The sequence below is a fragment of the Homo sapiens genome, chromosome 3, assembly GCF_000001405.40.
Source record: "Homo sapiens chromosome 3, GRCh38.p14 Primary Assembly".
In the NCBI taxonomy this organism is placed as follows: Eukaryota; Metazoa; Chordata; class Mammalia; order Primates; family Hominidae; genus Homo; species Homo sapiens.
Genome location: NC_000003.12, coordinates 67,537,790 through 67,550,848, shown reverse-complemented (window position 1 = coordinate 67,550,848; position 13,059 = coordinate 67,537,790). Strand labels below are relative to the sequence as shown.

General features: G+C 40.6%; 1 protein-coding gene across 6 annotated transcripts in view, besides 1 other annotated feature; it reads left to right on the top strand.

Moving 5' to 3' along the window:
• SUCLG2 (succinate-CoA ligase GDP-forming subunit beta) overlaps window positions 1–13,059 on the top strand; it is a 294,153-nt gene that overhangs the window by 103,764 nt on the left and 177,330 nt on the right. The window lies entirely within an intron of this gene.
• Window positions 1,437–1,637: a silencer, noted in NCBI's record as "peak4691 fragment used in MPRA reporter construct". NCBI's record gives its function as "represses an SCP1 promoter by STARR-seq MPRAs in K562 erythroleukemia cells {active_cell/tissue: K562}" and the evidence as "EXISTENCE:reporter gene assay evidence [ECO:0000049][PMID:32103011]".

Below are 13,059 nucleotides of genomic sequence, written 5' to 3'. Positions count from 1 at the left end.
ATTTTGTAGATAAGAAAATCAAGGCTCTATTCACTTGGCCAAAGCCGCTCAGACCCCTAGAAGGGGACAAAGCGTGAGTTCTAATCCAAGGCCATCTGGCCTGCAGCTCATGAACTTATCCACTGCACCTAATTATCTCTGGTAAGGTATCTTCTTTAGGAGAAATTTAAGACAGATGGTAAACTTGGTAAGACAGATGTACACAGAAAGGAGACGGTTTGGCTGGGTGTGATGGCTGACACCTATAACCCCAGCACTTGGGAGGCTTAAGTCCAGGAGTTTGAGGCCAGCCTGGACCACATGGCAAAACCCCATCTCTATAAAAAACAAAAAAAATTTCCAGGCATGGTGGTGTGCACTTGTGTTCTCAGCTACTCCCAGTTACTTGGGAGGCTGAGGGAGGATCACTTGAACCCGGGAGTTCGAGGCTGCAGTGAGCCATGATCATTTCACTGTACCCCAGCCTGGGTGATAGAGTGAGACCCTGTCTCAAGGAAAAAAGAAAAAACAAAAAAAAGGAAGATGTGTTAACAATCCTGTTTATAGATCTTAGATGTTGGTGTTGGGGGACACCTCAAGAGAGTGCATCACCCCTTTCTGCTTCACGAAAGGAGTCAATGACTTGAGATGCAGTAATGTGGCCTGAGTCTCACAGAGACCAATCATGTTACCCGCATGGAGCAGGTCAGCTAATTCTGGCAAGTGCAGATGTATGTGCCCCAGGCCCAGGGAAGAATACGGCTGGTGTTCAATCAGAGGATTAGCAGCTGAATTCAGAAGTGTCAATTTTGCCCGTTACTTTATTTTGAGTCACTCCTCCCATGAAATGAAGAAGTGGTTTAAGCCCAGTAGAGCTGAATGGTGTCTGTGTACACATCTCAGGCAGCTGATTTAATCTAATACGTAATAAGCTTATTTAAAAATAACTGTCATTTTCCCCATTTGCAGATACAATATACGTTCCTTGTAGCAAATTTGCAGTTTAAAAAAAAAAGAAAAAATTTATCCATTACAACCTTTCTCTACCAGTAATCAGAGTTAATATCTTGGCATATTTCATTCCAGATTTATCCTCAGTTATAGATTTGTATATGTACATATATTTAGTGGTATATATTTTGCACTATGCTAAGCTTTTCCCCCTCATAACAATGTACTGTTACTCCTCTTACCAGGTCAAAGAAACATCTTTTATTTAAATTTGAAAATAGTTTTTCTCTCATTATAAATAGTCATTGTAAAGAACGCAGATTATAACAAAACTATAAAGAAGGAGGTAAAGATCAACCCCTATTCCCTATAGATAACCACTGTTGATGTGGGCTTTATATTAATATCATTTCAGACTTTGTTTAGACATTTGTGTCTATATTTTCTAAAGTTTGCAAAAAGTAATGTACTCTAGTTTGTACCACAGATATGTTTTGGCTTTTATCTTCTAAGTACTTTCTGGTGGTTTCCTTTCAAAAATCCTGCAGGCTTATCAAAAGTCTGGAGTCCCATGATGTTAAGCTTCAGGCAGGTGACAGTGACATTGATAGCGTAGAAAAGCTTTTGGTTAAAGATAGTCGTTTTCGTCACTTCATTGCTTAAGTATCAGTCTTAAGCTCCAGGTATCATCCTGGCTTTTCTGGAGGTTGCAAGTATTTCCAGGAAAATTCAATCCCTTGTTGAAAATGGAAGAGCCACACAGAAATACTTGGGCAAGCGTGGTGCAAGGAAACTTGTGGATGCAGCTATTTTTGATAATTTCCACTGAGCTTACACAACATCATTACTATAAAAAACTTATATATAAATAATGAATTGTTTCTATTTCTAAAGAGTTACTATGTTCATGGCTTAAAAAAAATTCCCATTTGAACTCAGTATTTTGCATATAATTGACTGTGACTGATTTAGGAGTGTTTCAAGCAGTATTCTGATTTGGAAGTGGTAATGGGGGAAGCTGATTCCTTTTTTATACGCCTTTGGATAGTCTCATACCTGTTGGGTGCCTCTTGTAGGCCAGGCATTGGACATTGCGCTTTGTGCTAAGGTGTATAAATTAAATATTTTGTTATGCTTAGTCTCAGTAAGTATTTAGGAAGAGACTTGTGATCCCTATTGTCAATATTTTCGCTCATTTGTCCTAAGGATACTCTTGTAATATGTTCTCAGAAACAATAATAGATTTATTGATTTGGGAATTGAGTCATACAAGTATATGCATTTGTTAAAACTTATTGATTGGTACACATGAGATTTGGGTATTTCACTGAAATTAAATTTTACCTCTTCCCCAAAGGAACTGTACCTTATTTGGTTCTTAATGTTTATTATAAATTAATATTTTTAAACTCTAATATTTTTAAACTCTAATAACTGATATGGATACTGAAGAGTTTAACTGTACTGATGCACGGAACTTACTCTGAATTGCATGAAAAAATAAGATGGGTTGTGCTGGATTGAGAGATGTGACAAAGCACATGTACAAAATGTGAACAGTTGTAGATCTAGGTTATATGTGGATATTTACTAGTCATTTGACATTTCTATGTGATTGGAAATTTTAATAATAGAACATTGGGGAAAAATCAGTAATAAGGCTCTATGTGAGGAAGTTAAAGCACAGTCTCTCAAATAATCTTTCTGGCTTAAAAATCTCAACTCTGTTTCTTCCTAGCTGTATGACTCCAGGAAACTCCCTTAACTTCAATTGGGTCATTTGCTAAATAGAAATAGTGAATACGCTCAGCACAAATCTTATTTTTCAGTAAGCTCCTAGCAAACACTGTGATTATGATTTCATAGAGTAAAGGAAGTGATGATTGTGAATGAATGACCGTATGCTGAGGGCCTGCTATGTGCCTGGTACTGGTCATTTTCAGGAGAATGAGGCGATTTTGTTTTGCATCATGCTGTGTCGTCCTTCGGTAGAAACTTTCATACTGGAGGCGGTGTAAGGGGTGTGATTAGCAAAACTGGAGAGTGGCTTCATTAGGTTTGACAGAATCTCTCCCTGGCTTCATGGATCCCCCTTGCTGTAGCATCTCCTTTGAACTCCAAGGGCCTTCAGAGGAGAGGTGGCATCTGCTTTGTTAGACTTGGTAGCATTCCCAAGTCAGTGTTAATTTAGTTGATTCGTGAAAATTGTTCCCTTTGCATAAGGCTAGGACATCTTCTTTTCTGGAGTTATTCTGTTTTTAGCTTTTTGGACAGGTATCCTGGGAAATTCTTCTAGGGTAGCAAGATCTGCCCCCTCCCCACAGTCAAATCATGTTTATGCATTATGACAGACTGTTCCACCTCCTGCTGGGAGGCAATGAGAAAGGGTCAGGAACCTGGAAGAGGCTGCAGCTGGATTTAAGGGCACCAGTGCTTGAGGACGAAGGAGAGTATTTCAGGTAATTCTATAGATGTATTGTTTACTTCTGGATGTCCATGTTGCTGAAAACTAAAGTAGAAAATAGAGTAAAACACTATGTGTTCAGGGAGTATCTTAGTTCATTCTGGCTGCCGTAAGGAAATACCAGAGACTGGGTGGCCTATAAACAACAGAAATTTGTTTCTCATAGCTTTAGGGGCTGGGAAGTCTAAGACCAAGGCTGATGCAGTGTCTGAGGCGAGCCTGCTTTCTCCTTAACACATATTGCCTTCTAGCTGTGTCCTCACGTGGTAGAAGGGATGAGGGAACTCTCTGGGGTCCCATTTAGAAGGGCACTAATCCCATGCAGGAGGTCTCTGCCCCCACCTCCCAGTACTATCACCTGGGGGTTAGGATATCAACTTATGAATTTTGGGGTACAAGAGACCCAAACATTCAGACCATAGCAGAGAATGTGGGGGTATAGAAAAAACATTAGCCATATTAGCAAGCTGTGTGTGGATAGGAGGAATAGACTTATATGCTAGCTTTCCAGCTGTGATGATGCAATATGAATCTTTTTTGTTTGTTTATTTTTTGGGATGGAGTCTCACTCTGTAACCCAGGCTGGAGTGCAGTGGTACAATCTCAGCTCGCTGCAACCTCTGCCTCCCCGGTTCCAGCAATTCTCCTGCCTCAGCCTCCCAAGTAGCTGGGATTACAGGCACCTGCCACCATGCTCAGCTAATTTTGTTTGTTTGTTTTGAGACAGAGTCTTACTCTGTGGCCCAGGCTGGAGTGCAGTGGCACAATCTCGGCTCGCTGCAACCTCCACCTCCCCGGTTCCAGCTATTCTTCTGCCTCAGTCTCCCGAGTAGCTGGGATTATAGGCGTGTGCTACCACGCCCGGCTAATTTTTGTATTTTTAGTAGAGACGGGGTTTCACCATGTTGGCCAGGCTGGTCTCGAACTCCTGGCCTCAAGTGATCCACCTGCCTTGGCCTCCCAAAGTGCTGGGATTACAGGTGTGAGCCACCCTGCCCGGCCTGAAATATGAATCATTAGTGCAAATTTCTTGTAATGATTGGAATTTCAAAGGGTATCCTCCTGTAGGACTGCTTGGTTCATATGAAACAGGACTTGATTTCTGTGCCACACTAATACCATTGGAGAACTACTTAAAAGCTGCCAAATTTTATTTCAGTTTTACCAGATATGGATGCTAGCTCTTAAGTATTTTCCTGTGCTGTCTTGGGTGGTATAATTCCAAACTCAAGTCAAAAAATTTTGTATTCTTTTACTCCAAGAAGTAAAATTTATACCAGCTTGTTAATTCCCTCATTTCCCATTTATAACACTTGGCCTGACTTCCCCCAGTATGAATTCTAGCTCAAGCCAGGCATTGAAAAATAAGATGCAGAAAGTGCCAGAAGAGATTTGAATGCTCACATATAATCAGAAATGTCGTTTTGAAAACAGTCCAAGAAAGTAGGTTCAGGTTTTATGGCTTCTGTGGTTAGGTGTAGCACATTGATAATGAGTGTTCCAATTCACAGGGATTTAAGTGGATACATTCTTATTTGGGAGTGGTTCTGTGGGAGAGTGTAATGGAGGGTAGAATTTGAAGTAAATGTGGATCTCTCTGGCTGCTGGAACTGAAATTAGTTATCTGAGATATAGTCAAACATGCAAATTAAATAACTTGGAAGTATTGCAGGGAAGCAGGTGGGAAAAGGAAGAATGAAAAGGAGAGAGGAAAGGAGGGAGGAGGGAGAAAGGAAGAAAGCATGAGGCAGGGAAGGAGAGAAGGAGGAAACCAAAGAAAGTGGCATAAAGAGAAAAGGAAATAGCTATTTCTCAGGCCTTCACAACCCTTGAAAGCCAAATATAAACTCTTCCAAGTTCATTGATACTGCTCAGTTTCATCCTCCAGGATGTAATCTAAAGTCCCCTCTGTGTTTAACATTCGAGCAATAGACTTAGATTTCAAAAACAATGAATGCATCAAGACAGGCAATAAAAGAGCAAGACATTGCAATTTAAAACTCAGTGCAATTTGAAAGCAGCATAACAGTTATGCTGGACCTCAGTAGATGTGTGTATCATGGGAAAGTGGTTCTGAGATCTTTCATCTCTCTTGGGGTAGGTCATTCCTGGCTTCTGCTTAACTCCAGCATGTCATTGACCACTTTACAAACTTTAAAATTGAAGACAAATGCCTCCTGGATTCCTTTTTATGGCAACAACATCAAGCTGTTGTCTGGAATTCTGTATCTCTAGCATTTGGAATTATAGCAGATTTAAAGTATGGAATATGTGTTTCTTTGCAGGATGGGAGGAGGGGAGCGTATACTTTATTATTGTTGCTACTAAATAATGCTTAGTATGAATCTCACTGACCCCTTGAGGAACTTTTATAGGAGAGTTAGCTTACCTGGCTGGGGGCTGTTTTATCTGAGAGTTAGCTTACCTGGTTGGGAGCTGTTTTGAGACTGGCATGATAAAATTATTAGAGCTCTTAAAAGTATTTGGGGTAAAATATCTAAATTTAACAAAGATGATCAATGTATTTTCTATTTATATGCTGTTCTTGAACATAGGGAAATAAACTTTAATCTGTAGAAGTTTTCTGAATATCTGAAATAGCAAATTTGAATGATTTATAGTGCAGGATCCTGGCATGATTTGCTGCTTTATTTGAAGTGGTGCTATAGTGATTTCTAGTTTAAACAGCAAACCATGAAAGCCAAACAGAAATAAATAGAAAAGCAAAGTAGCCTTTTTTTAGTTGTTTTTCACTCCATGTCCTTGCTCTCCAGTCCCATCTTCCTAGAAGTCTCACAGCTCTTCCTCATGACGTTGGCCAAGTACTCTTCTCTTTATAGCTGTATTGGTCCATTCTCACACTGCTTCCCTGAGACTAGTAATTTATAAAGGAAAGAGGTTTAATTGACTCACAGTTCCGCGTGGCTGGGGAGGCCTCAGGAAACTTACAATCATGGTGGAAGGCGAAGGGGAAGCAAGCACTTTCTTCACAAGCTGGGAGGAGAGAAAGAGAGTGAAGTGGGGAGTGCCACTTTTAAACCATCATATCTTGTAAGAACTTACCCACTATCATGAGAACAGCATGGAGGAAATCATCCCCATGATCCAATCACCTCCCACTAGGTCCCTCCCTTCACAACAGGGGATTACAATTTGAGATGACATTTGGGTGGGGACACAGAGCCAAACCATATCAATAGTTCTTCCGTCCTTTTTCCTTCTCAGCTTTACTTGACACCATTTCCCCTTCCTAATTTGCTTCTTAATGCTTATTATAAATTAAAAATTTTCAGTAATTTGTTTGTGTCTATTTCTTCCAGTCAATTTTAAGTTTACAAAAGGCAATGACCATGACATTTAAAAAAATTTTTTGAATTCCCATAGAATAAGTAAGTGCTCACTAATATTTTAAAAGGGCAAAACATTTTCCTGCCACTCCCAGTTTTCTTGCGTGACTCTTTAGGAGGTCATGTTATAAGGTATTCAGCCATGTGTCCTTAAGATATCTTCTAGAGGCTTCCTCAAATATAAACACCCCGACCCCATGTGGTAAAATGGTAAAGGCTGATACAGAAATGAGTATTTAAATATTCAAGACAAACTACTATGAATTAACTGCCCACATTTAATTCACAGCTTTTAAACTCTTTTTATTTTTCTGACACATAATTGCAAAATAATTAAGTCAACATAGAAAAGATATAATGTTGTACCCATAATACTACTCCCTAGCCACTTAAGGTAACCTCAGTTAATAGTTTGGTTGTTGCTCATTTATTTATTTGTTTTTGAGACAGGGTCTCACTCTTTTGCCCACACTAGAGTGCAGTGACATAATCATGGCTCACTGCAGCCGCAACCTCCTGGGCTCAAGGGATCCTCCCACCTCAGCCTCCTGAGTAGCTTGGACTACAGGTATGCCACTATGCCAGGCTAATTTTTGTACTTTTTGTAGAGACAGGGTTTCACCATGTTGCCCAGGCTTGTCTCGAACTCCTGGGCTCAAGCAACCCACCTGTCTCAGCCTCCCAAATCAACCCACCTGCCTCGGCCTCACAAAGTGGCTTACAGGCATGAGCCACCACACCCAACCTTGGTTATTTAGATTTTATTACGACTATGTAACTGTTTACAGGTGTATTTTTTAAAAAATGCTAGTCATTAAGGTCAGCTTAAAGCTTAGTTTGTGCATGGGCATTTTCTGACATTTACACTTAAAAATATACTTAATTTATCCAGTAGTCATTCCGGAGCAGGTTGTTGAATTTCCATGTAGTTGTGTGATTTTGAGTGAGTTTCTTACTCCTGAGTTCTAATTTGATTGCACTGTGGTCTGAGACACTGTTATGATTTCCATTCTTTTGCATTTGCTGAGGAATGTTTTACTTCCAATTATGTGGTCAGTTTTGGAATAAGTACAATGTGGTGGTGAGAAGAATGTATATTCTGTTGATTGGGGGTGGAGAGTTCTGTAGATGTCTATTAGGTCTGCTTGGTCCAAAGCTGAGTTCAAGTCCTGAATATCCTTGTTAATTTTCTGTCTCATTGACCTAATATTGACAGTGGGATGTTAAAGTCTCCCACTATTATTGTGTGGGAGTCCAAGTGTCTTTGTAGGTCTCTAAGCATTTGCTTTATGCATCTGGGTGCTCTTGTTTTGGGTGCATATATATTGAGGATGGTTAGCTCTTCTTGTTGCATTGGTCCCTTTATCATTATGTAATGCCCTTCTTTGTCTCTTTTGATCTTTGTTAGTTTAAAGTCTGTTTTACCCCAGACTAGGATTACAACCCCTGCTTTTGTTTGCTTTCCATTTGCTTGGTAAATATTCCTCCATCCCTTTATTTTGAGCCTATTTGCACGTGAGACGGGTCTCCTGAATACAGCACACTGATGGGTCTTGACTCTTTATCCAGTGTGCCAGCCTGTGTCTTTTAATTGGGGCATTTACCTCATTTACATTTAAGGTTAATATTGTTTTGTGTGAATTTGATCCTGTTGTTATGATGCTAGCTGGTTATTTTGCCCGTTAGTTGATGCAGTTTCTTCATAGTGTTGATGGTCTTTACAATTTGGTATGTTTTTGCAGTGGCTGTTCCGGGTTTTTGCTTTCCATATTTAGTGCTTCCTTCAGGAGCTCTTGTAAGGCAGGCCTGGTGGTAACAAAATCTCTCAGCATTTACTTCTCTGTAAAGGATTTTATTTCTCCTTCGTTTATGAAACTTAGTTTGGCTGGATATGAAATTCTGGGTTGAAAATTCTTTTCTTTAAGAATGTTGAGGGCCGGGCATGGTGGCTCACGCCTGTAATCCCAGCACTTTGGGAGGCTGAGGTGGGTGGATCACCTGAGGTTGGGAGTTTGAGACCAACCTGACCTACATGGAGAAACCCCGTCTCTACTAAAAAATACAAAATTAGCCAGGTGTGGTGGTGCATGCCTGTAATCCCAGCTCAGCTACTTGGGAGGCTGAGGCAGGAGAACTGCTTGAACCCAGGAGGAGGAGGTTGCAGCGAGCCAAGATTGTACCATTGCACTCCAGCCTGGGCAACAAGAGCAAAACTCCGTCTCAAAAAAAAAAAAAGAAAAAGAATGTTGAATATTGGCCTCTCTGTTCTAGCTTACAGGGTTTCTGCAGAGAGATCCACTGTTAGTCTGATGGGCTTCTCTTTGTGGGTAACCCGACTTTTCTCTCTGGCTGCCCTTAACATTTTTTCCTTCATTTCAACCTTGGTGAATCTGACAATTATGTGTCTTGGGGTTGCTCTTCTCAAGGAGTATCTTTGTGGTGTTCTCTGTATTTCTTGAATTTGAATTTTGGCCTGCCTTGCTAGGTTGGGGAAGTATTCCTGGATAACATCCTGAAGAGTGTTTTCCAACTTGGTTCCATTCTCCCTGTCAGTTTCAGGTACACCAATCAAACGTAGGTTTGGTCTTTTTACGTAGTCCCATATTTTTTGGAGGCTTTGTTTGTTGCTTTTCACTCTTTTTTCTGTAATCTTCATTGAGTTGATCTTCAATCTCTGATATCCTTTCTTCCACTTGATCGATCTAGCTATTGATACTTGTGTATCCTTCAGCTCCATTAGGTCATTTATGTTCTTCTCAAAACTGGTTATTCTAGTTAGCAATTCATCTAACCTTTTCTCAAGGTTCTTAGCTTCTTTGCACTGGGTTATAACGTGCTTCTTTAGTTCAGAGGAGTTTGTTAATACCCACCTTCTGAAACCTACTTCTGTCAATTCATCAAACTCATTCTTCATCCAGTTTTTTTCCCTTGGTGGCAAGGAGTTGTGATCCTTTGAAGGAAAAGAGGTGTTCTGGTTTTTGGAATTTTCAGCCTTTTTGTACTGGTTCTTCCTTATCTTCGTGGATTTATCTAACTTTGGTCTTTGATGTTGGTCACCTTTGGATGGGATTTCTGAGTGGATGTCCCTGTTGTTGATGTTTATACTATTCCTTTCTGTTTGTTAGTTTTTCTTCTAACAGTCAGTCCCCTCTGCTACAGTCTACATTTCTGCTGGAATTTGCTGGCGGTCCACTACAGAACCTGTTTGCCTGAGTATCACTAGTGGAGGATGCAGAACAGCAAAGACTGCTGTGTGTTCCTTCCTCTGGAAGCTTTGTCCCAGAGGGGCACCCCCCAGATGCCAGCCGGAGCTCTCCTGTATGAGGTGTCTGTCGACCCCTGCTGGAGGTGTCTCCCAGTAAGGGGGCACAGGGATCAGGGACCCACTAGAGGAGGCAGTCTGTCCCTTAGCACAGCTCCAGCAGTGTGCTGGGAGATCCACTGCTCTATTCAGAGCCGGGAGGCAGGAACTTTTAAGTTTGCTGAAGCTGTGCCCACAGCCGCCCCTTCTGGCAGGTGCTCTATCCCAGGGAGATGGGAGTTTGATCTATAAGTCCCTGACTGGGGCTGCTGCCTTGCTTTCAGAGATGCCCTGCCCAGAGAGGAGGAATCTAGACAGGCAGTCTGGCTACAGTGACTTTGCCACGCTGCGGTGGGCTCTGCCCAGTCAGAACTTCCAAGCAGCTTTGTTTATACTACTAGGGGAAAACCACCTACTCAAGCCTCAGTAATGGCAGATGCCCCTCCTCCCACCAAGCACCCCAGGTGGACTTCAGACTGATGTGCTGGCGGTGTGAATTTCAAGCCAGTGGATAAATAAGTTCTTTGAAACCAATGAGAACAAAGACACAACGTACCAGAATTTCTGGGACACAGCTAAGGCAGTGAGTGTTTAGAGAGAAATTTATAGCACTAAATGCCCACAGGAGAAAGCAAGAAAGAGCTAAAATCGACACCCTAACATCACAATTAAAAGAACTAGAGAAGCAACAGCAAACAAATTCAAAAGCAAGCAGAAGACAAGAAATAACTAAGATCAGAGCAGAACTGAAGGAGATGGAGACACGAAAAGCCCTTAAAAAAATCAATGAATCCGGGAGCTGTTTTTTTTGAAAAGGCTAACAAAATAGATAGTCTGCTAGCCAGACTAATAAAAAAAGAGAGAAGAATCAAATAGACACAATAAAAAATGATAAAGGGGATATCACCACTGATCCCACAGAAATACAAACTAAAGTCAGAGAATACTATAAACACCTCTGTGCAAATAAACTAGAAAGTCTGGAAGAAATGGATGAATTCCTGGTCACATACACCTTCCCATGACTAAACCAGGAAGAACTTGAATCCCTGAATATACCAATAACAAGTTCTGAAATTGAGGCAGTAATTAATAGCCTACCAACCAAAAAAAGCCTAGGACAAGATGGATTCACAGCTGACTTCTGCCGTAGGTACAAAGAGGAGCTGGTACCATTCCTTCTGAAACTATTCCAAACAATAGAAAAGGAGGGACTCGTCCCTAACTCATTTTATGATGCCAGCATCATCCTGATACCAAAACCTGGCAGAGACACAACAAAAAAAGAAAATTTCAGGCCAACATCCCTGATGAACATCGATGCTAAAATCCTCAATAAAATACTGGCAAACCGAATTCAGCAGCACAACAAAAAGCTTATCCACCACGATGAAGTAGGCTTCATCCCTGGGATGCCAAGCTGGTTCAACATACACAAATCAATTAACATAATCCATCACATAAACAGAACCAAAGACAAAAACCACATGATTATCTCAATAGATGCAGAAAAGGCCTTTGATAAAAATCAACACCGGTTCGTGCTAAAAACTCTCAATAAACTAGGTATTGATGGAACATATCTCAAAATAATAAGATCTGTTTATGAAAAACCCACAGCCAATATCATATTGAATGGGCAAAAGCAGGAAGCATTTCCTTTGAAAATTGGCACAAGACAAGGATGCCCTCTCTCACCACTCCTATTCAACATAGTATTAGAAGATGTGGCCAGGACAATCAGGCAAGGGAAGGAAATAAAAGGTATTCAAATAGGAAGAGAGGAAGTCAGATTGTCTCTGTTTGCAGATGACATGATTGTATATTTAGAAAACCCCATCGTCTCTGCCCAAAATTCCCTTAAGCTGATAAGGAACTTCAGCGAAGTCTCAGGATACAAAGTCAATGTGCAAAAATCACAAGCATTCCTATACACCATTAATAGACAAACAAAGAGCCAAATCATGAGTGAACTCACATTCACAATTGCTACAAAGGGAATAAAATACCTAGATATACAACTACAAGGTTTGTGAAGGACCTCTTCAAGGAGGACTACAAACCACTGCTCAAGGAAATAAGAGAGGATACAAACAAATGGAAAAACATTCCATGCTTATGGATAGGAAGAATCAATATTGTGAAAATGGCCATACTGCCCAAAGTAATTTATAGATTGAATGCTATCCCCATGAAGCTACCATTGACTTTCTTCAGAGAATTAGTAAAAACTACTTTAACTTTCATATGGAACCAGGAAAGGGCCCCTAAAACAAAGACAATCCTAAGCAAAAAGAACAAAGCTGAAGGCATCACTCTACCTGACTTCAAACTGCACTACAAGGCTACAGGAACCAAAACAGCATGGTACTGGTACGAAAACAGAGATATAGACCAACAGAGGCCTCCGAAATAACACCACACATCTACAACCATCTGATTTTTGACAAACCTGACAAATACAAACAATGGGGAAAGAATTCCCTCTTCCTAAAGGGTGTTGGGAAAATTGGTAAGCCATATGCAGAAAACTGAAACTGGACCCCTTCCTTACGCCTTACACAAAAATTAACTCAAGATGGAGTAAAGACTTAAACATAAGACCTAAAACGATCAAAACCCTACAAGAAAGCCTAGGCAATACCATTCAGGACATAGGCATGGGCAGAGACTTCATGACTAAAACGCCAAAGCAATAGCAACAAAAGCCAAAATTGAAAAATGGGCTCTAATTAAACTAAAGAGCTTCTGTACAGCAAAAGAAACTACCATCCGAGTGAACAGGCAGCCTACAGAGTGGGAGAACATTTTTTGCAGTCTATCCATCTGACAAAGGGCTAATATCCAGAATCTGCAAGGAACTTAAACAAATTTACAAGAAAGAAGAAAACAAACCCATCAAAAAGTGGGTGAAGGATATGAACAGACACTTCTCAAAAGAAGATGTTTATGTGGCCAACAAACATGAAAAAAAGCTTATCATCACTGGTCTTTAGAGAAATGCAAATCAAAACCAC